At 46.1% G+C, this 27597-nt stretch overlaps 1 protein-coding gene and 1 long non-coding RNA gene across 38 annotated transcripts in view, besides 1 other annotated feature; one reads left to right on the top strand and one right to left on the bottom strand.

Annotated features, from left to right (window-relative positions):
- LOC101927060 (uncharacterized) overlaps nucleotides 1–26192 on the top strand; it is a 117500-nt gene extending 91308 nt beyond the window's left edge. For 8 of the 37 annotated variants that reach the window (XR_007065805.1, XR_243711.6, XR_007065793.1 and 5 more), the window contains 4 exons: nucleotides 1094–1138; nucleotides 10161–10278; nucleotides 23017–23176; nucleotides 24909–26192. This is a non-coding gene — a long non-coding RNA (uncharacterized LOC101927060). Of the gene's footprint in view, nucleotides 1–1093; nucleotides 1139–2559; nucleotides 2578–3193; nucleotides 4291–7630; nucleotides 7685–10160; nucleotides 10279–10433; nucleotides 10917–11791; nucleotides 11918–23016; nucleotides 23177–24908 lie in introns of those variants that run through there. The other 29 variants (XR_007065801.1, XR_007065810.1, XR_007065780.1 and 26 more) reach the window with 16 other exon arrangements.
- The window catches only part of LRRC37A2 (leucine rich repeat containing 37 member A2), a 676337-nt gene that overhangs the window by 40151 nt on the left and 608589 nt on the right, over nucleotides 1–27597 (bottom strand). The window lies entirely within an intron of this gene.
- Nucleotides 3481–3775: a silencer, noted in NCBI's record as "tiled region #6393; HepG2 Repressive non-DNase unmatched - State 23:Low". NCBI's record gives its function as "represses a minimal TATA promoter and a strong SV40 promoter by Sharpr-MPRA in HepG2 cells {active_cell/tissue: HepG2}" and the evidence as "EXISTENCE:reporter gene assay evidence [ECO:0000049][PMID:27701403]".

Genomic DNA, 27597 nt, shown 5'->3' with positions numbered 1-27597 from the left:
GAAATTTATTTTTCTTATCTTCCTTTCAGCAAAATCAATTATGTTATTATTGTCAAGATTTAAAATACATGTAAGGATTAAAACAGTCATATTCAAAGTACAAATATCTTAATATTTTAATCAAAAATATTTTTATGTAAAAAATTTAATTTTGTCAGAATCTCAAACAATATTCTTTTCAAATATTGAAAAGTATCTATTGCTGGGCACAGTGGCTCACGCCTATAATCCCAGCACTTTGGGAGGCCAAGGCAGGCAGATTATGAGATCAGGAGTTTGAGACCAGCCTGGCCAATATTGTGAAACCCCATCTCTACTAAAAATACAAAAAACAAAACAAAACAAAAAAAAAAACTAGCCAGGCATGGTGGTATGCCTGTAGTCCCAGCTACTTGGGAAGCTGAGGCAGAAGAATTGCTTGAACCCGGGAGGTGGAGGCTGTAGTGAGCCAAGATTGTGCTACTGCACTCCAGCCTGAGCGACAGAGCAAGACTCCATCTCAAAAAAAAAAAAATAAGTATCTATTAAACCAATATGCAACATACAAATTGGAATTAATCAAATTTGGGCCAGGCGTGGTGGCTCACACCTGTAATCCCAGCACTTTGGGAGGCCAAGCCGGGCGGATCACGAGGTTAGGAGATCAAGACCATCCTGGCTAACACGGTGAAACCCCGTCTCTACTAAAAAATACAAAAAGTTAGCCGGGCATGGTGGTGGGTGCCTGTAGTCCCAGCTACTCGGGAGGCTAAGGCAGGAGAATGGCATGAACCCAGGAGACAGAGCTTGCAGTGAGCCGAGATTGCGCCATTGCACTCCAGCCTGGGCAACAGAGTGAGACTCTGTCTCAAAAAAAAAAAAAAAAATTAATTAAATTTGTACATCAAAATGATTGAAATAAATCCATTTTATTTTGATTTTTGAAAACTTAATTAAATTTTATGAAATTAAAATTCATAATTCTAGCATTCAATGACCACCTCATTGCCAATGCAAAGAATAAGCATCACTGTTTGTCTGAGGGCTAGACATAGATACAAATTTAAGAGTAATGTGTAATGTGATTTATTTAATCCTTTTCTCATTTGCCCAGAGAAGACTCACTGGTGGCACCTGCAGCTGCGGCGTTTTCCCCAAGGTAACTTTGCCACAAAATATCTCGCTTTATTATTATTTTTGCATCACTCTAGTATATCCACTTTGGAAACAAAAAATATTATTCTATTTATAGCATTGTGTTTTTAGTGGCGGGATTTCCATTTACAAAATACATTAATTGTTCAAGCTGAAAATATCAAATCCTAGAAAATGTAGCATTCCTACACGTGATACTAACATCATTCTCGAACAGTTATTGGCCAAAGATTCATTTGATGTATCTGATTTTCCAGAATAGACTATTCTGATGATTCAGATGATTCTGATGTTAGTTCTGTTTAGAAATAATTCCAATAGCAGTTTTTATATTTTATTTTCAAACTGAAAACCATTCATATTTGCGGCCAGGCGCAGTGGCTCACGCCTGCAATCCCAGCACTTTGGGAGGCAGAGGCAGGTGGATCACCTGAGGTCAGAGTTCCAGACCAGCCTGGCCAACATGGTGAAACCTCATCTCTACTAAAAAATACAAAAATTAGCTGGCTGTGCTGGCAGGCACCTGTAATCCCAGCTACTTGGGAGGCTGAGGCAGGAGAATTGCTTGAACCCAGGAGGCGGAGGTTGCAGTGAGCCAAGATCACAACACCGCACTCCAGCCTCGGCAACAGAGCAAGACTCTGTCGAAGGAAAAGAAAAGAGAAAGAAAAAAAAGAAAGAAAATCAGATTTGCTTCAGCCTCAAAGAGCAGGTTTCTGTAAAATTAAATGAGCACTGGCAGTGAGCTGCCCTTTTTTTCCTAAATGGGAAAAGGGTTAATACTGCAAACTTTTCCTCAGCTTCTATGCAACTGAGGCAAATACTGTGCTAACTCTTGAGAACCTCTGGAACCATGAATAGGAGCACAAAAACAAGAAGAAATTGTATTCTCAGCACTATTCGGAAATGGTACTTCATAATGTTTGAATCGATTGTATTCACACTATCTGAGAGGAAAGATCTGGTAGATACATTAACTTGTCTTTTATCTAAGTCCTTTTCTGCCCACAGCTTCTGTGTACTTTCAAAATAGTGCCTGGCAGAGGCCCCATTCAACATTTAGATGTAGTTATTTTTCCCATAGACCGAAGATAAGGTGTGAAGAAGCACGTCTCTGGGGCCTGAACATTGTCAGTCAAGAGAGGATGCATAGGGTTAGGTGGTGCTGCGCCAATGCCAGGCACCAGATCCAGACTAGCAGAGGCATCCTGTTGGCCTTTATTTATTTATTTGAGACAGAGTCTTGCTCTGTCACCCAGGCTGGAGTGCAGTGGTGCGATCTCTGCTCACTGCAACCTCTGCCTCCCGGATTCAAACAATTCTCATGCCTCAGCCTCCCGAGTAGCTGGGATGACAGGCATGCACCACCACACCTGGCTAATTTTTGTATTTTTAGTGGAGACGGGGTTTTGTCATGTTGGCGAGGCTGGTCTCGAACTCCTGACTTCAGGTGATCTGCCTCCCAAAGTGCTAGGATTTACAGACATGAGCCACTGCACCCGGCCCTGCAGTCCTTAATTAATTAATTTATTTTATTTTTTGTATGTAGAGTTCTCTAAATTTCAGGGCCCAGTCAGGGGCTCCTCTTGCCAGCTCGAAGGACAGGACTGGGAAAATATGCTTCTGTAAATAAACTGCTGTAGAAAACAGAGGGAAAAAAAAATTTTTTTTCCGAGATGGAGTCTCGCTCTGTTGCAGAGCTGGAGTGCAATGGTGCAATCTTGGCCCACCACAACCTCCTTCTCTCGGGTTCAAGCAATTCTCCTGCCTCAGGCTCCCAAGTAGCTGGGATTACAGGCGCCTGCCACCCACCTGGCTAATTTTTGTATTTTTAGTAGAGACAGGGTTTGCAACAGAGCAAGATCTTGTCTCACAAAATAAATTAAAAAGATTTTTAAATAGCAGGTTTCTAAAACAATGAGAAAGACAGCATTACATATCAGTGTCTACAATTTAACCAAAGCTATACTTAGAAGTAAATTCATTGTCTTAACTGCTTTTGTTCCAATAAAACAAAATAGCAGGATCCTGAGGCTTTGATGCTATTTTCTTAATCCAGCTGGTCTGTGGAGAAGCCTGGGACAGAAAGAAGCAGCCAGACTCCAGAATCCCCCATTTTAATAGCTATTCTATGCTATGTCCCCGTCTTATTCCTGGCAACTTACCTCTCAGCTCGTGCACTGTGACATTACAGCAAGAAGTACTAATATAAATGACACAAAAGAAAAAAGAAACCATGAGGTTTTGCTTGTTTTATTAACTAGGTGGGCATTGTAAATGTGGAGGGTGGGAAACAATCAGGAGACAGGAATCCGATGAGCATCTGCCATGTATCAGGCACTGCGCAATGTTCCTTACATACCACGATCCCATTTAACCCTCAAAAAACACTGCAGAGGGCTATCACTGCCTTCCTTTTACATACGAAAAAACAGACTTAACAGTTGCTCACGGGAAGCTGAACCAAGAATCAAAACAAAAGACTTTCGGGCCTCAAAGACTGCACTGTTTCCACTGCACAAAGTTGTCTGCACTGTGAGCAACAGAGGAGGGGAAAGGGGACTAAAAACCAAAACCAAAAATCCAATAAATAAAACAAAATAAATGAACTGAGCATTCAACACAAAAAGTTATAAGGAGCAGAGGAAAACATTTCCAAGGAAAACAGGAAGAAGCAAAGCTTAAGAATAAAAGCGTGACTTACACATTTACTTGGATCCAGGGGAAACTGTTGGGGTGAGATGTTAAAAACAGAGTTAGGAAGTGACTGGAGAACTTGTGTATTACATTCCACTTCCTATGGACCTTGGGTCCTTCTCTGTAACACTAATATTGGACTAAATTCTTCAAAGTTTCCTTGCAAGGACAGGCCACTCTGAAGCTAAGGGGTTACCACCAACCAAGAGACTCCTTCAGTAATAACACAGTAGGTAAATTACCCCAGAAGGTAAATATGACTGATTGTCTTACAGTAGCAGGTTTTAAAATCTTGTTGTCTCAAAAGCATTGCTATGGGCCAGGTGCAGTGGCTCACGCCTATAATCCCAACACTTTGGGAGGTTGAGGCGAGAGGATTCCTTGAGCACAAGAGTTCAAGACCAGCCTGGGCAACATAGTGAGACGCTGTCTCTACAAAAAATAAAGTAAATTAGCGGGGCATAGTGGTGTGTGCCTATAGTTCCAGCTACCTGGAAGGCTGAGGTGGGAGGATCACTTGAGCACAGGAGGTCAAGGCTGCAGTGACCTATGATTGCACCACTGCACTCCCCAGCCTGGGTGACAGAGCAAGACCCTGTCTCAAGAAAGCATTGCTAGACACTTTCTTCCATAAAATTATATTCTGCCCTGAGGGAGGCCCCCAGTGGGACTGTGCAGTGCCACCCCTGCTGCTGGCCCCTGAGGGCAGCAGGCAAGGAAGGAGCATATGTCTGTGCTGTGGGAAGTGCCAGGGAAAAGCCCCTGGATTGGGTTACCGTGAAATGCAAAGTGAGTGAAATACAAACATACCTTTAAAAAGGTAAACTAGTTCAACCATTGTGGAAGACACTGTGGCGATTCCTTAAGGATCTAGAACTAGAAATACCATTTGACACAGCCATCCCATTACTGGGTATATACCCAAAGGATTATAAATCATGCTGCTATAAAGGCGCATGCACATGTATGTTTATTGTGGCACTATTCACAATAGCAAAGACTTGGAACCAACCCAAATGCCTATCAATGATAGACTGGATTAAGAAAATGTGGCACATATACGCCATGGAATACTATGCAGCCATAAAAAAGGATAAGTTCATGTCCTTTGTAGGGACATGGATGAAGCTGGAAACCATCATTCTCAGCAAACTATCGTAAGAACAAAAAACCAAACACTGCATGTTCTCACTCATAGGTGGGAATTGAACAACGAGAACACATGGACACAGGAAGGGGAATATCACACACCGGGGCCTGTTGTGGGGTGGAGGAAGGGGGAAGGGAAAGCATTAGGCAGTATACCTAATGTAAATGACAAGTTAATAGGTGCAGCACACCAACATGGCACATATATACATATGTAACAAACCTGCACATTGTGCACGTGTACCCTAGAACTTAAAGTATAATAAAAAAAAAAGGCAAATATAGACCTTAGTGAATGAGTCTGGGTCATGGCTGGATGGGAGAAATCCCAGGGTGAGCCAGCCCAAACACGCCATCCACGTAATTAAAAAAAGAACATGCTACCCCAATGGTCAGCCCTGTGAGAAACGCATCCTTCCATCCAGCTAAAATCTGCCCATGTCCATCTTCTCTGCTCAACACCAGTCCCCATGCATTGGGCGACAGAGCACTGTACCCTCCTGCATGGAGTGGCCAGCCACTGGGCTTCAGAGCCAAACAAACCTGGGCTCAAAGCCCAGCCCTGCCCCCCTGTTGTGTGATGTCCAGGACAGTGGTGCTAGTAGTTGATGTGCTCATCTGCCCCACCTCTGCCTGGCTGTACTCGCAGCTAGTACATGTATAGTATATAAGTGCCCGACTGTATCATTGTATGTTCCAGAGTGGTCAGGGTCAGGGTGGTCATGGCTGAGCTTTTTTTTTTTTTTTTTTTTTTGAGTCTCTATTGTCCAGGCTGGAGTGCAGTGGCACCATCACGACTCACTGAAGCCTCAAATTTCCTTCCGGCCTTAAGTGATCTACCTGCCTCAGCCTCCTGAGTAGCTGGGACTACAGACCTGGACCACCAAGCCTGGCTAATTTTTAAAAATATTTGTAGAAGTTGGGGGGGTCGGGGGGCTCTGTTGCCCAGGCTGGTCTCGAGCTCCTGGCCTCAAGTGATCCACTTGCCTTGGTGCTAGGATTACAGTTGTGAACCATCACACCCAGCTTCCTTGAGCTTTTATACAGAACTCGTCTTTGAGTTAGTTTCTGTTGTATGTTCTAGTTAGGGCATTATATTGATTTTTAAAATTACTATCATTCTGAATGAATAACAAATTGTGGTACATTCATACAATGGAACAGAACTCAGCAATAAAAAGTAATGTGGGGAGGTGGGGATGGTTAATGGGTACAAAAAAAAAAGAATGAATAAGACCTAGTGTTAGAGAGCACAATAGGCTGGCAATAATCAATAATAATTTAATTGTATATTTAAAAATAACTAATGGCCAGGCGTGGTGGCTCATGCCTGTAATCCCAGCACTTTGGGAGGCCGAGGCAGGTGGATCACCTGAGGTCAGGAGTTTGAGACCAGCCTGACCAATCTGGTGAAACCCTGTCTCTACTAAAAATACAAAATTAGCTGGGCCTAGTGGCACGTGCCTGTAATCTCAACTACTTGGGAGGCTGAGGCAGGAGAAATGCTTGAACCCAGGAGGCGGAGGTTGCAGTGAGCCAAGATAGCGCCATTGCACTCCAGCCTGGGCAAGAAGAGTGAAACGCTGTCTCAAAAACTAAAAAAAAAAAATAAAAATAAAAATAATTAAGAGTGTATAATTGGATTGTTTGTAACACAAAGGATAAATGCTTGAGGGGCTGGATACCCCACTTTCCATGATGTGATTATTATGCATTGCATTCCTGTATCAAAACATCTCAGGTATTCCAGAAATACATACCCTTACTATGTACCCACAAAAACTACAATTAAACATTTAAAAAGTAATGAACTATTGGCACACAAAGCAACATGGATACATCTCAAAATAATTATGGTGAGTGAAAGAAACCTGACCAAAAAAATACACACTGTATGATTCCGTGTCTAGAAAGCACTAGAAAATATAAACTAACCTATGATGACAGAAAGCAGATCAGGACCAGGCGTGGTGGCTCACACCCGTAATCCCAGCACTTTGGGGGGCCGAGGTGGGCGGATCACTTGAGGCGAGGAGTTCAAGACCAGCCTGGCCAACATTTGTACTAAATACAAATACAAATACAACATTTGTACTAAAAATACACAAATTAGCTGGGCGTGGTGGCAGGTGCCTGTAGTCCCAGCTACTCGGGAGGCTGAGGCAGGAGAATCTGTTGAACCTGGGAGGCGGAGGTTGCAGTGAGCCGAGATCTCACCACTGCACTCCGGCCTGGTGACAGAGTGAAACTCCATCTCAAAAAAAAAAAAAAAAAAAAAAAGGAAAAAAGAGAAGAGAAAGAAAGCAGATCAGTAGTTGCTTGGGGGTGAGAGGGAAGTAGAAAGGGCAGGAAGCAGGATCACCAAGGGGCAACAAGGAAATTTTTTGGGAGGATGGCTTTCTTCACTATCTTGATTGTGATAATGATTTCAGCTGTATACTAAGGCTCAGATATTATCAAATTGTAATCTCTAGGCAGTTTATTATATGTCAATACCTCAATAAATCTGCCTAAAATGTTCAAAAATTACTGTAATTACACAAAATACATTTTATAAAAAGGAAGTCATGAGTGGAGCATGGTTGAGAACCCCCCAGCATCTGGTAGATTCAGAAGTGGGGAAAAGCATCTCTCACTTCCGCTTTTTCAGGCCGGCGTGCTGTGCAATTTATCCAGTGGCCACTAGAGGACAGCAGCGACTCAGGTACAGGAAGTGGGCGTTTCAGGGCTTCAATACTTAGTATTCCTTGCTCTGTGCTCCCTATCCTGGGAGGTGGACATTAATACCCCCATAATACTCAGTTAGAGCTGAGACTTGGGCCTTGGTCTCTGGCTCCTTATTACGCCTTGTTGGTCCCCGAACACCGGGAGTGCAGGAAGGTCGCCCAGACTGGAGTTCTGTGGCACCATCTCGGCTCACTGCAACCTCCACCTCCTAGGTTCAAGCGGTTCTTCTGCCTCAGTCTCCCAAGTAACTGGGATGACAGGTGCCCACCACCCCGCCCGGCTAATTTTTGTATTTTTAGTAGAGACGGGGTTTTACCACATTGGTCTGGCTGGTCTCAAACTCCTGACCTCATGATCCACCCGCCTCAACCTCCTAAAGTGCTCCCAGATCTTTTTAAAAGAATGTCCTACTCCAGGGAGGCAGCAGCCATAGTTCCCTGTTATCTGCAGGGCTGATATGGAGGATTGCAGATGGCACCAAAGAGTTGTGGTTCTCAAGGTGACTTTGGAAGGCCTCCCACCTTGCCTGAAACCCACGATTATAAAGCAGGTCAAAGTTGTATCATCAGATGCTGCAAGTCATAAGTTAGCATGTCAGTGAGAAAATGACCTACTGAAGGGTCATTTTTATAGGAGAGAGGGAAAGGAGAGAAGGTTCAATTGAGGAGTAGAGAGACATGATGGTGGAGTGCCCATGGGGTGCTGCAATGGAAGCTTCCCCCAAAAAAGTAATCGTGGGCCGGGCACGGTGGCTCAGGCTTGTAATCCAGCACTTTGGGAGGCCAAGGTGGGCAGATCACTTGAGCTCAGGAGTTCGAGACCAGCCTGACCAACATGGCAGAACCCCATCCCTACTAAAAATACAAAAATTAGCCAGGCATGGTGGCGCACACCTGTAACCCCAGCTACTTGGGAGGCTGAGGCAGGAGAATCGCTGAAACCCGGGAGGTGGAGGCTGCAGCGAGCCAAGATCGAACCACTGCACTCCAGCCTGGGTGGCAGAGCAGGACTCTGTCTCAAAAAAAAAAAAAAAAGCAAAAAACAAGCAATTGTCAACATACATTGAGCCACCACAGTGTGTGAGGCATGATGCCGAACACTCTGTGCAGGGAGCCAGCTCATCTTCACAGCACTATTTTATTTTATTTTATTTTATTTTATTTTATTTTATTTTATTTTATTTTATTTTATTTTTTATTTTATTTTAATTTTATTTTATTTTATTTTATTTTATTTTATTTTATTTTATTTTATTTTATTTTATTTTATTTTGAGATGGAGTCTTCCTCTGTTGCCCAGGCTGGAGTGCAGTGGCGTGATCTCAGCCCACTGCAACCTCCACCTCCCAGGTTCAAGCGATTCTCCTGCCTCAGCCTCCTGAGTAGCTGGGATTACAGACACACGCCACCACACCCGGCTAATTTTTATATTTTTAGTAGAGAAGGGGTTCCACTATGTTGGCCAGGCTGGTTTCAAACTCCTGACCTCAAGTAATCTGCCTGCCTCAGCCTCCCAAAGTGCTGGGATTATAGGCGTGAGCTATAGTTCCAGGCTGACAGCACTCTTACTAAATAAGAGTGGTTAAGAAACTAAATGCAGAGAGGTTAAGAAACGCCTAACAGGCCTGGCATGGTGGCTCACGCCTGTAATCCCAACACTTTGGGAGGCCAAGGTGGGCGGATCACTTGAGCCCAGGAGTTCAAGGCCAGCCTGGGCAATATGGCAAGACCCCGTCTCTACAAAAAATTACAAAAATTAGCCAGGCATGGTGGCGTGTGCCTGTAGTCCCAGCTACTCGGGAGGTTTAGGCAGGAGGATCCCTTGAGCCTGGGAGTTCAAGGCTGCAGTAAGCTATGATTGCACTACATCCTGGGTATGAGAGGGACACCCAGTCTCAAAGAAAAAAAGCAACTGTGGACACACATTGAGCCCTTCTGGTGGGTCAGGCACGATGCCAAACACTGTATGAAGGGCGTCATCTCATCTTCACAGCATTCTTAATAAATAAGCTGCAGAGAGGTTAAGAAACGCCCAAAGTCACAGAGCTGGTAGGAGGCAGTGCAAGGATTTGCATCCAGATTTGACACTAACGTGTGGGCCTTGCTACTGCTCTATAGTACCTAATTAAACGGAAGTGTCCTTCTCGATTACTTAGTTCATGTGTTGAACTCGTTGGTGTTGGTAGCAGATGGTGAGTATTGTAGTTCAGCTTTCTGGAGAAAACTCGTCAGGCTTCAAGAGAATGTTAAGCATCCATGATGGTCTGGGAGGGAGGTTCCCTCTCCACCTCTTCACCTCTTCACATGGAGCATTTACAGTGTGTGAGTTTCTGTGCTAAGGATGATTCTTCCATGATGACAGTATCTGAAGTGCAGGTGGGCAGAGGCCAGCAACAAGGAATTGAGGGGCCAGTGAGGCAGCAATTCAGTGACATTGTTCATTTGCACTCACAGGGGTCTGTCACACGCAGCCCAACTCAACTGGAGTCCTGAGAAGGTGAACAGACCAGGATGGATGGCCAGGGAACTCACCAGAAGTCCCCAGGCATCAGAACAAGGTCGAAGCATCCTGGTGAGCAGATAACACGTGCCCATGTTTTGTGGGGGGAAGTCCTCCAGCAGTTTCTCCTTCCCCTTGGCTTTGACCTGGCCTACCTGGGATTATGCAGTTGGTTCTCCAGGTCAGGTGCCTCAGGGAGGTGACCCTTCCTGTTCTGGGTTCTGCAGAAGCCGACAGCTCTGGGCTTGTGCCCATCAAGCACTCTTCTGCCCATTTTATACTCTTGTGGACGCATGGTGGTGTTGATACAGGCCCCGAGTTAAAGGATCCATGGCTGCACGTGACAAGACAAAGCAAAAGCAGGCCAGAGTTAAACACGCCCCTTGGGTCCCCTCCTTCACTTCATAAATGGGAAAACCAAGGTCTAGGCAGGGAAAGGGGCTCAGCCAAGGCTACATACACAGCACACTCACGGCCGAGCCGGGATTAGGACTCCCAGCATACCCCGTAGCCTTCTCTAATAAGAGATAGGCTGCTGGGTTCTTCTTTATCAAGTGTTGGTCACTCATTATTTCTCTCTGTGTTTCTTAAAACAATTATTCTTTAATATCGTTATATATTCAGTAAGTGTTCAAATTTCCAACTGTTTTATGTCAGAAAGCATTTTCTAACATTTTGATTAAATCAAGATCCAAATAAGATGCACACAATATGATTAGTTGATGTCTCTTAAATCTTTTAATCCATGGATTCCTCTTCCATCTTTCTCTTTTTCCGTTTATTCTTTTTTTTTTTTTTTTTCAGATGGAGTTTCACTCTTGTTGCCCAGGCTGGAGTGCAGTGGTGCGATCTCAGCTCACTGCAACCTCTGCCTCCTGGGTTCAAACAATTCTCCTGCCTCAGCCTCCCGAGTAGCTGGGATTACAGGCACCTGCCACCATGCCCGGCAAATTTTTGTATTTTTCATAGAGATGGGGTTTCACCATCTGGGCCAGGCTGGTCTCAAACTTCTAACCTCAAATGATCTACCTGCCTAGGTCTTCCAAAGTGCTGGGATTATAGGCGTGAGCCACCACACCTAGCCTTCCTTTATTCTTGAACCAGCCCTACCATGCATCCTGCAGATATTACCCACGGTCTGGATTTTGATTATTGCAAATCCATGATGTCATTTATACACATTTCTCTGTCTTCTATATTTCCTATAAGTGGATAGTTGGATCTAGAGGCCTGATCAGATTAAGATTTTGAGTTTTTGGCAAGACTTGTTCTTAGTAGGTATTAGGTTTTTCCACAGAAGGCACAGAATGTCTAGTGACTTCCTTTTTGTGACATTAATAGCTATTGACATTCCATATCTAGACCAGTTACTTCACTGGGGGTTAGAAATGGTGATATTCTTTTTTTTTGGTGAGGTGGGGAGACAGAGTCTCACTCTATCACTTAGGCTGGAGTGAAGTGGCAGGATCTTGACTCACTGCAACCTCCGCCTCCTGGGTTCAAGCGATTCTCGTGCCTCAGCCACCTGAGTAGCTGAGACTACAGACATGTGCCACCACACTTGGCTAATTTTTTGTATTTTTAGTACAGATGGGGTTTCACCATGTTACCCAGGCTGGTCTCGAACTCCTGAGCTCAAGCAATCAGACTGCCTCCGCCTCCCAAAGTGCTAGGATTACTGACGTGAGCCACTGTGCCTGGCCCAGAAATGGTAATATTCTAATTCTATCATCCTGTCTTCATTTATTAGCTGGATTACTTCTAAAGAGAAACTCCTCCTCGTTAACTATTCCATGACCTGGAGTCTTATCTCATCAATTCTGGGAGAATTCTGGGTACATGGATTATCCCCACTTCCATGTTAGGCCAGAGGTCAGAGGGGCTGAAGGAACTGTCACCAGCAGAAGAATTGGCTGGCCCCAGTCAACCGACAAAATCATAATAAATAATTAGAAAGTGAGGGCTGGATGTGGTGGCTCATGCCTGTCATCCCAGCGCTTTGGGAGGCCTGAGCGGGAGGCTTGCTTGAGGCCAGGAGTTTGAGGCTGCAGTGACCTATGGTCACACCACTACACTCCAGCCTGGGCAACAGAGTGAGACCCTGTCTCTAAAGAAATTAATAATAAAGTGGTTGTTTTAAGGCCCTAAATCCAGCAGCAGCCCATGGGTGGCAAAACCAGGCCTAGGGGCCCCTGGGCCCTTTCCTACCTTCACAGGAAGTCAGACCTGCACAGAGTCATCAAGAGCATGCAGTTCAGCCTCACCATGTGCAGATGGGACAGCTGAGGACTGGGAGGTGTAGTGACTCATCCAGACTTGGACACATAACCCAGGTCATGGGCATATCCTTAAAGGAAACTCCTGAAAATTCCTTGAGATGGGTTTCAGTGTCTTGGCTGGTTGGGCCTGATGTTCTCACTCTAAAGCCTGTACTTGTAAGTGCTTGCACTAGGCCCACCATTCGACCTGATCTTATTTCCTGTGGTGTTCTCAATGCTGATAACAGATGCTTGGTAAATATCTGCTTAAATGAGTCAATGAATGAAGGAGCCGTTGTTCCTGTATGTCAGGAATGGGCTGCTCCTGGGGAAGATACTGGTGGCATTGGGATATCCAGAGAGCAGCCACTCTGGCAGGCCCAGGGCAGAAGCCAAGGGCACAGGGGTAAGTGGGAAGCAGGGAGTGGGAGGCAAGCAGCAGACCTCACTCCAGGAAAGCAAGCAGAGTGGGAGGCCTGCCATCCATCCTGGCAAGGGGCCAGCCAAGGAACAGAATCCTGCTGAGTGGGGAGGCAGCATGGATGGGGTTCCAGCAGGTAGCAGGGACCAGCCACTGAGGTGGGCCGAGGACAGAACTCCAGTTGCAGGATGGAGCAGGCCAGGCCCCTCCTCCTTACACTGGGCAGGTGACCAAGGCGGGAACTCAGGACCAAGGAGCAAATCCTACTGTATCAGATAGGATTCAGTTGGGTTGAGAAGAATGAAAACCCTCAAATATCACTGGCTCAAACAAGTTTGAAGCTCAGTTTCTCTCTCATGTTTAGCTGTCCTGAGGGAATCATTCCAGAGCCAACAGGGTGCTCCATGATGCAAAGGGAGAAGGGATCTAGGCTCCTGTCTTATTGCTCTGCTAACCACAAACATGACTTCTACCCCATGGTACAATATGGCTGCTGGAGCTCAGCCTTTCCACGCTATATTCCAGGCATCAGGAAGGAGTATGGGAAGGAGAAGAGTACTCTCCTTTTTTTCCCCAGAATTGCACAGACTGTTTTATTTACACTTTTTTGGCCAGAACTGAGTTACATGGCCATGCCTAGCTGCAAAAGAGGGTTGGAAATGTTGTTTTCCTTTAACATATTCATAAGCCTAGCTAAAAATCAGAACCTGTAGCTGAAGAACAAGAGAACATACCTCTAGTGACTCAAATTATGACACAAGGCAGAGGTCAACCAGGGAACTCACAGTTCAGGCCCAGGGGGCTCGGCTGTAGCCATTTATACCCCTGCTGCCCTAGGTCCTGGGGCTTAGACAGCATAGGGTCATATGACTCCCACTGTGGGAGGGAGGGACCGTGGAGCTTAACCAGCTTAGCCTGGCTGTCTGAGTACCTGCAACCATAGCAACAGTGGGTATTGTTTGGGGGAGTGGGGGGACAGTCTCACTCTGTCACCCAGACTGGAGGGCAGTGGCTTGATCTCTGCTCACTGCAACCTCTACCTCCCAGGCTCAAGCAATTTTCCCACCTCAGCCTCCCCAGTAGCTGGGACTACAGGTGCACACCACCATGCCTGGCTAATTTTTTGTATTTTTAGTAGAGACGAGGTTTCACCATGTTGCCCAGGCGGGTCTCAAACTCTTGGACTCAAGCAATCCACCCACTTTGGCCTCCCAAAGTGCTGGGATTACAGGAATGAGCCACTGTACCTGGACTTTTGTGTTTTTTTTGTTTTGTTTTGTAGCTAACCCAGCATTAACCCAGGAAGAAGCCCCAATGGCAAGAAAGTAGGGTTAGTCTGCTCATTGGCAGGGACAGGCACAGACTCAGAGGCCGACAACTGCTTGATGCTGAGAAAAGCATCCTCAAAATATGGGTCAAGGCCACGGACTGCCTTTTCCCAGGAGGCAGTGATGTGGCTGATGACAGCTTCTTTTTTTCTTTAAAATTTTACTGTAGACTAGCATTCATATAGAAAAGTACATAAATCATAAATGTACAGCTCAATGATTTTCACAAAATAAACACACCCAAGTAGCTAGCACCCAGATCAAGAACTAGAACATTATCCAGAACTTCAGAAGCCTCCCCCATTCCTTTCTTCCTGTCCTCTTCCCACCCTCCCCACTCTTCAACTCCCAACCCCCACCAGCATTTTTCTTTTTTTTTGAGATGGAGTTTCACTGTAGTTGCCCAGGCTGGAGTGTAATGGCATGATCTCAGCTCACTACAACGTTCGCCTCCGGGGCTCAAGTGATTCTTCTGCCTCAGCCTCCTGAGTAGCTGGGATTACAGGCGCCCCCCACCACACCTGGCTAATTATTGTATTTTTAGTAGAGACGGGGTTTCACTATGTTGGCCAGGCTGGTCTCAAACTCCTGACCTCAGGTGATCCACCTACCTCGGCCTCCCAAAGTCCCGGGATTATGGGCATGAGCCACCACGCCCAGCCCCCACCAGCATTTTTGTAAATCAGTGCAGGTGATTCCACGGTATAGTCAATGTTGAGAACCACTACTTTCATAACAATGCTTCTCAAACCTGGCTGCACATTAGAATCCACTGGGGAATGTCTGTCTTTTGAAGTAGAAGATGGAACCAACATAGCTAAGAAGGCAGTGTGGCACCTGCCATGGACCAGCTGTGTGACCTTCAAGGAGTTCCTTCAACTCTCTGAGCCTCATCTGGGAAATGGGAACACTCTCACATTCCTGCAGAGTTGGGGCTGAGAGATAGAGGATGTCAGCCCGGGCACATGTAGGGCAATTCTGATACATGGCAGCCACTGTTGTTTTTATTAAGAGTGAGCAGCCCCACGAAGACTTGAAGCCCTCACTTTCTCTACGCAGATGGAACCCATTCTGGGAGTAGGGGATACAGGTTGTGTTGATGAGAGGTCACAGTCCTTCTAGGGAACACAGAAAAATTCCAAGAGCAACAGAGATTCCAAGCCAAGGTGGACAGCATCAGAGACCAGTGGCTGCGGATGAACTTGGGCAGGCCCAGCTTTGGCAAAGCCAATCCTCCTTTGGCAAGAACAGCAAGAAGCTGATTGGCTGCAGGCTGTGACGCTAAAAGCTGCTTATGGAGAAATAAGCAACTTTTGTTGAGCACCTCCTATGTGCCAGACACTATGCATGCCTGCCTTAAATCCTGGGGGTAGGCAGACTGATCCCTTTTTAACAGTTGAGGAGCCTGAGGCTTGGAGGCTGCAGTGCCTGACTTCCTCACCAAGGAAAACCTGTTGTCCCATGAGCCTGGGATCTGCCTCTGTTGGGATGCATGCCTGAAGGCATGCTGCACACATGAGTGACCTGGGGATGTGTTGTTTGATTAGATGCTCCTCTTTGTAGTTTTGCCTAAAACAAAAAGTACATGGCTTTTTAAGCTATTGACAACTTTATTTTTTGCATTTATTATAAGATACCATGTTCATTGTAGAACATCTAAAAAATACAGATAAGCAAAAAAAAAAAAAAAATCAAAATCTCTCCTAGTCCCAGCCTACAGAGATGGCCACTGTCAGTTTGGGCATATATTTTCATACATGTGAGTCTGTTTGCATGTGTGTATAGAAACTTACCAGAAAGGAGTCACATGCTACACATTGTTAGAAAATCTTCTTTGTCTTCAGTTAATAATATATAGTGGCCATCTTTCTGTGTCACTACATATTCTTTTTTTTTTTTTTTTTTTTTTTTGAGATGGAGTTTCACTCTTGTCTCCCAGGCTGGAGTGCAATGGCACAATTTCAGCTCACTGCAAACTCTATCTCCCAGGTTCAAACGATTCTCCTGCCTCAGCCTCCTAAGTAGCTGAGATTACAGGTGCCCACCACAATGCCTGGCTAATTTTTGTATTTTTAGTATAAACGGGGTTTTACCATGTTGGCCAGGCTGGTCTCAAACTCCTGACCTCAGGTGATCCTCCCAGCTCGGCCTCCCAAAGTGCTAGGATAATAGGCATGAGCCACCGCACCTGGCCTCATTAAATATTCTTCTACAACAGTGGCACTGCATTAGAACCCCTGGGGAAGCTTTAAAAATATCAATGCCTGGGTTCCACCCCTAGAGTCAAATTTAATTCATCTGGAGTGGCCTGAGCTTTGGAATTTTTAAAAACCCCCCAGATAGTTTCAGTACGCAGCCAAACCTAACAGCTGCTGAACTAAAACATTTTTTTTTCCCGAGACGGAGTCTTGCTCTGTTGCCCAGGCTGGAGTGCAGTGGCACAGTCTCGGCTCACTGCAACCTCCACTTCCCGGGTTCAAGTGATTCTCCTGCCTCGGCTTCCCACATAGCTGGGATTACAGGTGTGTACCACTACACCTGGCTAATTTATTTATTTATTTATTTAGTAGAGATGGGGTTTTTGCCATGTTGGCCAGGCTGGTCTCAAACCCCTGACTTCAGGTGATCCACTCGCCTCAGCCTCCCAAAGTGCTGGGATTACAGGCATGAGCCACCATGCCCAGCCAGCATTATTTTTCAACAAGGGCCTTGCATTCCATTTGCAAGGTATGTGTTGTAATTTGATCAATCCACTTTCTTGGACATTTAGCTTGGTTCCAATTTTTATATCATTATAAACCAGGAAGTAGCAAACTTTTTTCTGTAAAGAGCTAGGTGGTATTTGTTTTGGCCTTTGCAGGTCACAAGTTCTCTGTTACAACTGCTGAATTCTGCCATTATGGCAAAAAAGCAGCCACAGATCATGTGTACATGAATGCACATAGCTGTGTTTCAATCAGACTTTATTTAGAAAAACAGGTGGTGGCCAGATCCAGCCTGTGAGCCACGGTTCACTGAACCAACTCTGTATAAACATTGTGTAGTACATCTTCATGAAGCTAAACCTTCTAGGATGAAATGATCATTTTCTTGTGACAGTGGTTTTATACTGTTTATTTATTTTATTTTATTTTATTTTATTTTATTTTTTTGAGATGGAGTTTTGCTCTTGTTGCCCAAGCTGGAGTGCAATGGTGCAATCTCAGCCCACTGGGTTCAAGCAATTCTCCTGCCTCAGCGTCCTGAGTAGCTGGGATTACAGGGGTGCACCACCACACCCGGCTAATTTTTTGTATTTTTGATAGAGATGGGGTTTCACCATGTTGGCCAGGCTGGTCTCGAACTCTTGACCTCAGGTGATCCACCCACCTCGGCCTCCCAAAGTCCTGGGATTACAGGCGTGAACCACCGTGCCTGGCCTATACTGTTTCTTTTTAGAAGTAGGACCCTTCTTTAAATGAAACTTAATAAGGCTCATGTAAGCAACAGATAAGAAGTCATTCTGTTGGCATATTTTATAAATTCAAATATGCAGTATTTAGAAGACCAGTTAGGGGTCTTCTAGACCAGTTAGACATCATCTCAAGATGACATCTCAGAAGATGATGACTATAGTTTTAAATCAGCCTCAGTACCAGTGACATTCAAATCAAAGTTTTGCAGAACTAGCAAAGCACCTCTGTAGAACCCCACGGTTCCACCAGGAACATAATTTGAAAACCATTGCAATGGGATAAATTCCTGGAAGTGGAATTGCTGGAGCAAAGGGCCTGAACCTTTTAAAAGCAGTCTGTGGCCAGGTGTGGTGGCTCACACCTGTAATCCCAATACTTTGGGAGGCCAAGGCGGGAGGATTGCTTGAGGCCAAGAGTTCAAGATCAGCCTGGACAACATGGTGAAACCCTGTCTCTACCAAATATATGAAAATTAGCTGGGTGTGGTGGTGCATGCCTGTAATCTCAGCTTCTTGGGAGGCTGAGGCATGAGAATTGCTTGAATCCAGGAGGTGGAGGTTGCAGTGAGCCGAGATCGTGCCACTGCACTCTAGCCTGGGCGACATAACAAGACTCTATCTTAAGAAAAAAAAAAAGCATTTTGTGTGTGTTGTCAAATTGTCCTACAGAAAGAGAGAAATAAACGTGTTTCTAATACTCAAATGAGTGTGAACACCTTCCTGCATCCAGCTGGCCTTGACAGGTGAATGCCCTGGACACTGGTTCCTGGTGTGGTGTGAACCATGTCCTTCCCTTGTCTTACCCCTTACAACGACTGGGGGAAGATCCTTCAAGATTCTCACATTGTACATGCTCAACAAAGCTTTCAACAACATCAATAGTGTGATCACTTTATTCTTGACTTAAGGACATTGGCAAAGATCTTTATGATATGTTATCAGGTGAATTACATAGGACCCTTTGTGTAACTGATAAAAAGTTATCTTGAGGTAGCTGAAGCCATAAAGGGGGATTTAATTTAATACCTTATGTCACCAGACTACAGGAGCGTCCAGGGTTCTAAAAGTTGGGGCTTTCTTTCACTATTGTTTTGACTCTTCTGTGTCTGGGACTTCACCCTTTCTGCCGCAGATAGGTTTTCTCTATCTTTCCACTGTGGAGAGGAATATAATAGGCCTGCGTCCCTATAGCCTTGTCACTGGACAGAACAGAGCTCTTTTCCACCACCTCCGTGTAGAAATTCTCAGGGAAGATTTCAGATTGGCCCACTTTGGCTTATCTTTTAATTATTCCTTATGGTGTAACAACCCCAAAACGGAATGGCTTAACAATAACCATTTAATTATTTCTCATGATTCTGTGGGGTTTTGGGCTCAGCTGCAGAGCTCTGCTGGTCTCGCTCTGTCATTCATGGGACAGGAGTGCCCAAAATAGTTTCCCTAAATGTCAGGCACCGTGGCGAGGATGGCTGAAAGCTAGAAACTTGCCCTGTTCACACGCTGTCTCTAAATAGCCAGCTTGGGCTTCTTGGCATGGCAGCTGGGTCCCAAAAGTGAGTGTTTGAAGAGGACCAGCCCCATTGTGCAAGCGCTCACCAAGCCTCTGCTTACATTACGCTTTCAGTTGTCCCACTGGCCAAAGCCAATCACATAGCCAAGCCCAGCATCACTGTGGGAGTGACGATACAAGGGTATGATACCTGGGGTCAGGGACCCTGGTGGCCACCAACCAGCCTGTCGTGGGTCACATCCCTGTCCCTGAGCTAATCATCAAGGTCAGGCAGAAGAGTACTAAGATTGGCTCAGCCTCAATCATGCATCCCCTTATATCTGGGGGGCAGGGGAAGCCTAATTGGCAGGTCCCACCTTAACTGGTTGGGATGGGGAAGAGCGATTCCTCAAAAGAAAGCAGATGATGTTTAGAGCAGACAAAACAAGGGGCAAGATGTCTTTACAATTCTGAGCACAACTTAGCCAGAGCCAACCTGCCTTGTGCTTGTGTCCCGCCGTGGGATCTGTTCGAAGGGGGTAGTCCCCAGCAGTTGTCCTGACCTGAATATGTTTCTATTTCCTGCCTTCACAGACCCTGAAGCAGGTGACAGGAGTCCCTACAACACGTTCTGTCCTTCACCGGAAAGGCATCTGACTAGCATGCCTACTCAAAAGTCCTCCACCTTGCAGAATCTGCATGGAGTCCTTGGCTATGCTAGCAGAGTCTGAAAATGATTTCCTATGCTCGAGCAGGGGTTGGCATTGCTAAACTGCTGAGGGACAGAGTGAAACACTCATTTCCTGTGTTCTGTTGACCTGCGTCCACAGTGTCCCCTCTGGGTGCCCCCCACATGTTATGTCTTCCTCTATTCGCACCTTCTCACCGTTTATCATTATCTAGTTTCTTTACTTGTCTTCCTCTCCAGACTGAGCTCCTTGAAGGCAGGGACTGGCTTTCACTGTGATTCCCTAGCACTTAGCTGGACACAGAAGATGCTCAGTACGTGTTCAGTGAATGGGTGAACAAGCTGATGACTTCTAAACCTTTATCTCCAGCCCCAGGGTGCCTAAGTTCCCCGGCCATGCCTCCAACTGTCTGCCTGACACTGTCACGTGCACATCCCACGGTCACCTCAGACTCATCATGTTCAACCCTGAGCCCCTCAACTCCACCTTGGCCTGACCACTCCGCCCACTTGTTCACTCCCAGTGAAGGCCAGAAATCTGGGAACCATTCCTCAGATTCACAGGCTCCAGAATCCCCTCCCACTTTCCATCTCCTCTTTCCCTGCCTTTGTTCACCTGCATCATTGCCTTTTTAAAAAAATGACATGAAATACACATAACATAAAATTAACAGTTTGAAAGTGAACAATGTCTTGGCAATTTTGGCAATTTGTGCATTCACAATGTCCATCACCACTTCCAAAACATTTCAGCACTCCAAAAGGAAACCTTGTACCCATCAAGCAGTTGCTCCCCAACTCACCTCTCTCCCCAGCCCCAGCAACCACCAATCTTGGTTCTCTCTTTGGATTTACCTTTTCTGGGTATTTCATACAAATGGAATCATACAGTATATGTTATTTTTTGAGTCTGGCTTCTTGCACTTAACATAATGCATTTGTTTGTTTGTTTGTTTGTTTTTTGAGACAGTCTTGCTCTAGTTGCCCAGGCTGGAGTGCAGTGATGCAATCTCGGCTCACTGCAACATCCACCTCCCAAGTTCAAGCGATTGTCCTACCTCAGCCTCCCGAGTAGCTGGGACTATAGGCGTGTGCCACCATGCCTGGCTAATTTTTGTATTTTTAGTAGAGACACGGTTTCCCTGTGTTGGCCAGGCTGGTCCCAAACTCCTGACCTCAGGTGATCTGCCTGCCTCAGCCTCCCAAAGTGCTGGGATTACAGGCATGAGCCACAGCACCCGGACTTAACGTAATGTTTCTGAAGTTCATCCACATTATTAAAGTATGTGTAAGTATATGCTATAAGGTTTATAGCATGCACACATACTTCACTCCTTCCTATGAATAATATTCCATTGTATGGATAAACCACATTTTGCTTATCCCTTCATCTAGTGATAAATAGCTGGGCTGTTTCTACCTTTTGGCTGTTGTGAATAGTGCTGCTATAAACATGCATGTGTGTATATTTGCTGGAGTGCCAGTTTTCAGTTCTTTGGGTATATACTTAGAGTGGGGTCACTCATCGGGGCCTTTTGCCTTGTCTATTGCAGTAGCCCCCAAACCGGCCTCCTAGAGCCAGTGCACTCTGTCCTCCATATGGTTGCAAGAGTCTTCACCATTTTCCTTTCTTTTTCAAAAAATATAATTTTTTTCTTATTGTAAACTCTATTGTCAAATTTTTTAATGCGAAAAAAGAGTTGTTTTATTTTTAATCTGGGGAAATGTAAATGCCAGGCTGATCGTGTGTCTCCCCTGTGTTTTGGATGAAGTCCTGAGCGTCCTGGCGCCCACATGCCTCTTTAGCCATCTCTTCTGATGTTCTTCCTCACCGCCTCCCCATGCCTGTTCCCCTGCAGCTACAGTTATTATTATTATTATTGTTATTTTTGAGATGGAGTCTCACTCTGTTGCCCAGGCTGGAGTGCAGTGGCACCATATTGGCTCACTGCAACCTCCGCCTCCCGAGTTCAAGCGATTTTCCTTCCTCAGCCTCCTGAGTAGCTGGGATTATAGGCATGCACCACCACGCTTGGCTAATTTTTGTATTTTTAGTAGAGACGGGCCACCGTGTCAGCCAGGCTGGTCTTGAACCCCTGACCTCAAATGATCCGCCCACCTCGGCCTCCCAAAGTGCTGGGATTACAGGTGTGAGCCACCCCCCCTGGCCTGCAACTATAGTTATGCACTCCGCCAGCCTCTGAGCCACTGCACATGCTATTCCTCTGTGGGACTGCCCTTCCTGCCCTTCCAGTCTGATCTGTCCCACTTACCTTCTCTGACTCAGCTCTCCTTGTGACTGTTCCCCCCAGCAGGTCACACATACCTGAAAGTGGCCAGGATCACTGTGTCCAGGACAGAAGGAAAAGGAAGACGCACATAGGATGCAGTTAGGTTTCACTGATTGACCATAAGCAGCACTGGTTTTACCTCTCACTTCTCCGCGGTCTCAGATAGTCCCCACAGTGTCTAAGCTAAATAGGGAACCACCAACCCACCCAAGCTCCGTCATTAGGAGTTGGCATCTTGCTACATTCCCTTGTTGTGACGGCTGGCAGTGAAGCTTGTGAACAAATGGGCAACCCATAAGGAGCTTTCTCTTCCTTTTTCCTTCCTCCAGGCTTGTTTTTTCTACTCGGGAAGCCAGATGCTTTAGAGCTTAATTACACCCTACAGTTGGAAGCGCAGAATGTCAGAGCTGTAAAGGAAGGACCTTATTATAAATAATAGTTACTAGCATTTATTGAGCACTTACTCTGTGCCAGGCACTGCGCCAGGCCCGTTTCCAGGCATTACCTCATTTAACCTTCCCAACAATTCTAGGAGGCAGTTACCATCATCATCATCCCTGGTCTATAGGGAAGGAAACTTAGGCTTGGGGAGGCTTCGGGGCACTTCCTAAACTGTGCTAAATGGTACATAGTGGCACAAAATATTAGTCGGTGTTGGCAAAAAAGGATTCCATTGATAAATGCTGAATCCCGCATCCCCCCCTTGCCCCACCCCCAGGGAAATTCACAATGTACATCCACATACTAAAGGTCCTGAGAAGTCCTATAGCAATGAAATCTGTTTAGGTCAATGTCTACTCTGTTGCAGACCTCGCAGAACTATTTATCCAAAGAGCACAGTTTGGAGAACGTAGGTATTAACCAACTTTCTCATTTTACAGATTAGGGTACCAGAGGCCCAGGCAGTACTTTTGGGGTAGACGAGGTACAGACCTTTGGCTCCTCACTGTCTTCAAGCCCACAAGAAGCATAGAGCAGAAGAAGACAGAGGAGGGCCCATCTGGCCCACTACCTGTTCTTGTAAATAAAGCTTTATTGAAGGTATTCTGATTAAGCTCCCATAGTTAATGAATGAGCCAATGGAAGCCCAGAGAGGATGGTTCACTTGTCCAATGTCACACAGTCAATTAGGGGCAGAGGCAGAAGTAGATCACAGATGTCCAAAATCCAGGTATTCTGTTGGGTTGTGAGCTCCATGTCACCTGGGATGCCTGTCTCATTCTCCACTGTGTAGAACTTAGCCAGGCACTGCTCCCTGTCTGCTACTGCATAGACACCCAACCTGCAAGGCATTTCTTTAAATTTTCTTTTTTTTTTTTTTTTGAGATGGAATCTCACTTTGTCTCCCAGGCTGGAGTGCAATGGTGCGATCTTGGCTCACTGCAACCTCCGCCTCCCAGGTTCAAGCAATTCTCTTGCCTCAGCCTCCTGAGTAGCTGGGATTACAGGCGTGCACCACCACGCCCAGCTAATTTTTGTATATTTTAGTAGAGACAGGGTTTCACCATGTTGGTCAGGCTGGTCTCGAACTAGTGACCTCATGATCCACCTGCCTCAGCCTCCCAAAGTGCTGGGATTACAGGCATGGTTGGCCTGAACTGCCTGGGTACTTCCCTCTGCCTTCAACCTCTGTAGGTAAACTGAGCAGGGGCCAACCTCGAAGTCTCTTAGGGGTCAAAGGCTGAACAGGGCAATCCATGTTTATTTCAATTCCGTACCAGATGCAGTAAAATGTCATTAACTTTCCCTCTGCCAATTTGAAACGTGAGATCATTTGGACAGGAACTGGGCAAACAGGCAGCAGGCTACCTTTGCCCATTCCAGGAAAAGCGTGCCAAACAAATGAAGAGTGTAAACCGGGTCCTAGGGGGGTTGTTTAAAACCACTTCAGAAAATAAATGATGTCCAAAGGCTCTTGGGCCTCCCTGAAGTACACTCTCATATAGTGGTCATCTATTTACTTGTTTCTGAAGGTGTCTGGGTGGTTTACAGTTGAATATGCAAATAAAATCATTCTTATCTCTTCATTAAAATGGCTCATACAAAGAACACTTATTGACAAACGTGAACAATTTAAAATCTCTGCAGATTTAAGCATTTTCCTTCTGGCGGGTCCATCCAGCAAGTGATACTAATTAGGAGCTTTTATTAACCTTGAGATCTGGAGGAGGGGGACTTCTTACTGACTCTGGATGGCTCAGGCATGCCAGAGGGCTAAAGGTTCATCTAGAAACAGCTGCAGAGACAGCAGGGCATAAAGCTCCGGGTGGCAGCTCTTCCTGGGGCAGCCGGACTGCCCAGATGGCCCTTCCAGAGCTGGGAAATGCAGACTTGTCCCTGAGGTGGAGGGTAAAAATAGTCCCATGTGGGTGGTGGCTTGGCCCAGAGGCACTGGCTTCCTTTTCTCTAGAGCAGGGGGAGGCAGCCAGTTGACAGACTCACCCTTAGGCTCCTGAGCCCCTCTAAGCCCGGCTCGGGGGAGTCTTTCCCCAACAACGAAGCACTCCCACCCCCAACCCCACCCCCAACACATACACATATGCCAAGTGCTGGAAAGACTTTGAGCTTAGTTGTAGGGTAACTAAGGATTTAAATCCTGGCTGTGCTATTACCAGCTCTGTGACCTGGGACAAGATCCTTTTCCTTTCCAGGCCTCTATTTTCTCATCTGTCAACTTGTTTCTTTCTACAAGTCTTGCTGTGAAGATTAAATAACAATAAGAACTGATGTGTTTCACTCTGTATCCTCACTCTTCTGTCCCTCTCCCTTCCAGCCAGGTGCTCACCTTCTAGCACATTCTTCAAGAGTTACTCTGAGGCAAGCCAGCCGCCATGTCATGAGGACACTCAAGCAGCACCATGGAGAGGTCCGATGGCGAGGAACAGAGGATCCCCCTGCCGACAGCCAATGAGGAACAGGCCTCCTGCCAACAGCCGTGTAAGGGGTCACCTTGGAAGCCAATGGCCCCTCCCTGGTCAGGCTTTTACATGACTGCAGTCCTGGCCAACATCCTGACGGCAACCTCATGAGAGACCTTGAGCCAGAGCCACCCACCTAAGCTGCTTATAGGTTCCTGGCCCTCAGAAATCACATGAGATCATAAATGTTTGCTCAATTTGAGATATTTGTGATGTAGCAATAAATAACAAACACACTTACCTTTCAGGGTTATTATGAGAATTAAGAGTTAATACACATCAAACTACAACCAAACTTGCTGGGACCAGAGGCTCAAGAAAGGGCAGACAGGGCCGGGTGCAGTGGCTCATGCCTGTAATCCCAATACTTTGGGAGGCCGAGGCAGGTGGATCATCTGAGGTCAGGAGTTCGAGACCAGCTGGCCAACATGGTGAAACCCTGTGTCTACTAAAAATACAAAAATTAGCCAGGCATGGTGGCGGACACCTGTAATCCCAGCTACTCGGGAGGCTGAGGCAGGCCTCACTTGAACCTGAGAGCTGGAGGCTGAAGTGAGCAGAGATCATGCCACCGCACTCCAGCCTGGGTGACATAGCGAGACTCCGTCTCAAAAAAAAAAAAAAAAAAAAAAAAAGAAGAAAGGGCAGACAGAAACCACAGAAGGAGGAGTGGTTAGCTAGGTCCAGGCCAGATGGGGTCCTGCTCCTGACGTGGATGGTTCTGGGAGACCAAATATGCAAATAGACAATGGCCAGACCACATATTAAAATAGAACTCTGCCCCCAAACCTACAGCACCAGCCCAGGAAGCCAACGAACAACCCCTGCAGCAATCAGCCCCAAATGGCCAGGACTTGATGGTAACTGACAGCTTCCCTAATTTTGTTCCCACTTTCAATGCAGGACAAACCGGAGAAAGCCAAATATGCTCCCCTAACCAATTACTTAGGATGCCCCTCTTCTAATGAGCCCAACTGTAGCTTTCCTGCACCACCAACAGGACGTACCTGAAGCCTTCTCCTTTTTCCGCTATAAAGCCTTCCCCTCGGCCTGCCTTTGAGTCTCCATGAAAAGCAAGTGACAGTGGCTGCCTCCCTTACTGTAACAAGCTCTGAATAAACAGCCTTTGCTTGCTCTCATTTGAGTGGTCTTTGTTTACATCCACAAGCCCAAGGTCTCTCTCCCCCTTCCTGCTCCCAGGTCAAAGATGTCTTTTTCCCTCCCCAGCACCTCCCCCAGGGATGATGGGAGAGAGGGGGACGGGGATAATGAAGAGCGTGGCTTTGGAACAGGACAGATCTGGGCTGAAATTCTGGCTCTGATGCTTAACTAGCTGCGTGATCTTAAGTAAGTCAATTAAACAGTCAGTGCCGCTGTTTCCTCATGTCAAGGGGACAGTCCAGCAGAACCCAAAGGCTGGTGTGAGAGAATTCAGGGAGGTAATGTATTTAATGCACTGGGCATGTAATAGATGCTTAATAAAGGAAAGGTCAGCCATCATGTCAGCCTCCTCACAACTCGCTGGAGTGGGCAGGGCCCCATTCTGCATCCTCACTCACCCCACCCCTTTCCTTTACATCAGGCAGTCTGACTTCAGCTGGATGCAATCAAGGTACGGACTCCAAGTCCAGGGTATAGCAAAAGCCAGGGGTTGGTTTCAGACAAAGGATATAACTGAGCATTTCTCTACAGAAATCCAATTGGGCCAAAGCAGAGGACAGAATGTTCGGGCCAGACACCTGCTGGACTCCCTGTTCTATCCTGGCTCCAAGGGGTGATCAGGGCAGGGGAGACTCTTGCCCTGAAAACTGCATGCCTTTGCGCCAGGCCAGCTTTCCCAGGACTGAGGAGCTTGAGCCAGGTTGTTTCCCAATCTGGGGTGCCTATGTGTGCCTCAGTTTCTTCATCTTTAAAGTGATAATTTTGCCAGGCACAGTGGCTCACACCTGTAATCCCAACACTTTGGGAGACTGAGGTGGTAGATCATCTGAGCCCAGGAGTTCGAGACCATCCTGGGCAACATAGTGAGACCCTGTCTGAACAAAAAATAAAATAAAAAATTATGGTGGCACATGCCTGTGGGCTCAGCTACTCAGAAAGTTGAGGTAAGGGGATCACTTGAGCCAGGTGATCAGGGCTGTAGTGAGTTGTGATTGCACCACTGCACTCCAGCCTGGGCAACAGAGCGAGATCCTGTCTCAAAATAAAAATAAATAAATAAAATAATAATTTTAATAACTTACCAGGATATACACACATGCTTAATGTTCTAATAATGAGTATCAGGATGGGTATGGGTGTCTTAGTCTGCTTTATGCTGCTATAACAGGATGCTTGTTATAAAGAGGGCAATTTATAAATAGAAATTAATTTCTCACAGTCTAGGAGCTGGGAAGTCCAAGATCGAGTGGCCAGCATCTATCTGGTGAGTGCCTTCTTTCTGCATTAAAACATGGCAGAAGACATCACATGCCAGAAAGAGAAGAGAGAGAAAGAGAAAGAGGGGTGGAACTCATCCTTTTATAAAGAACCCACTCCTGAGAC

This window comes from Homo sapiens, chromosome 17 (assembly GCF_000001405.40).
Source record: "Homo sapiens chromosome 17, GRCh38.p14 Primary Assembly".
Classification (NCBI taxonomy): Eukaryota; Metazoa; Chordata; class Mammalia; order Primates; family Hominidae; genus Homo; species Homo sapiens.
This window is presented reverse-complemented; position numbering and strand designations above follow the sequence as displayed.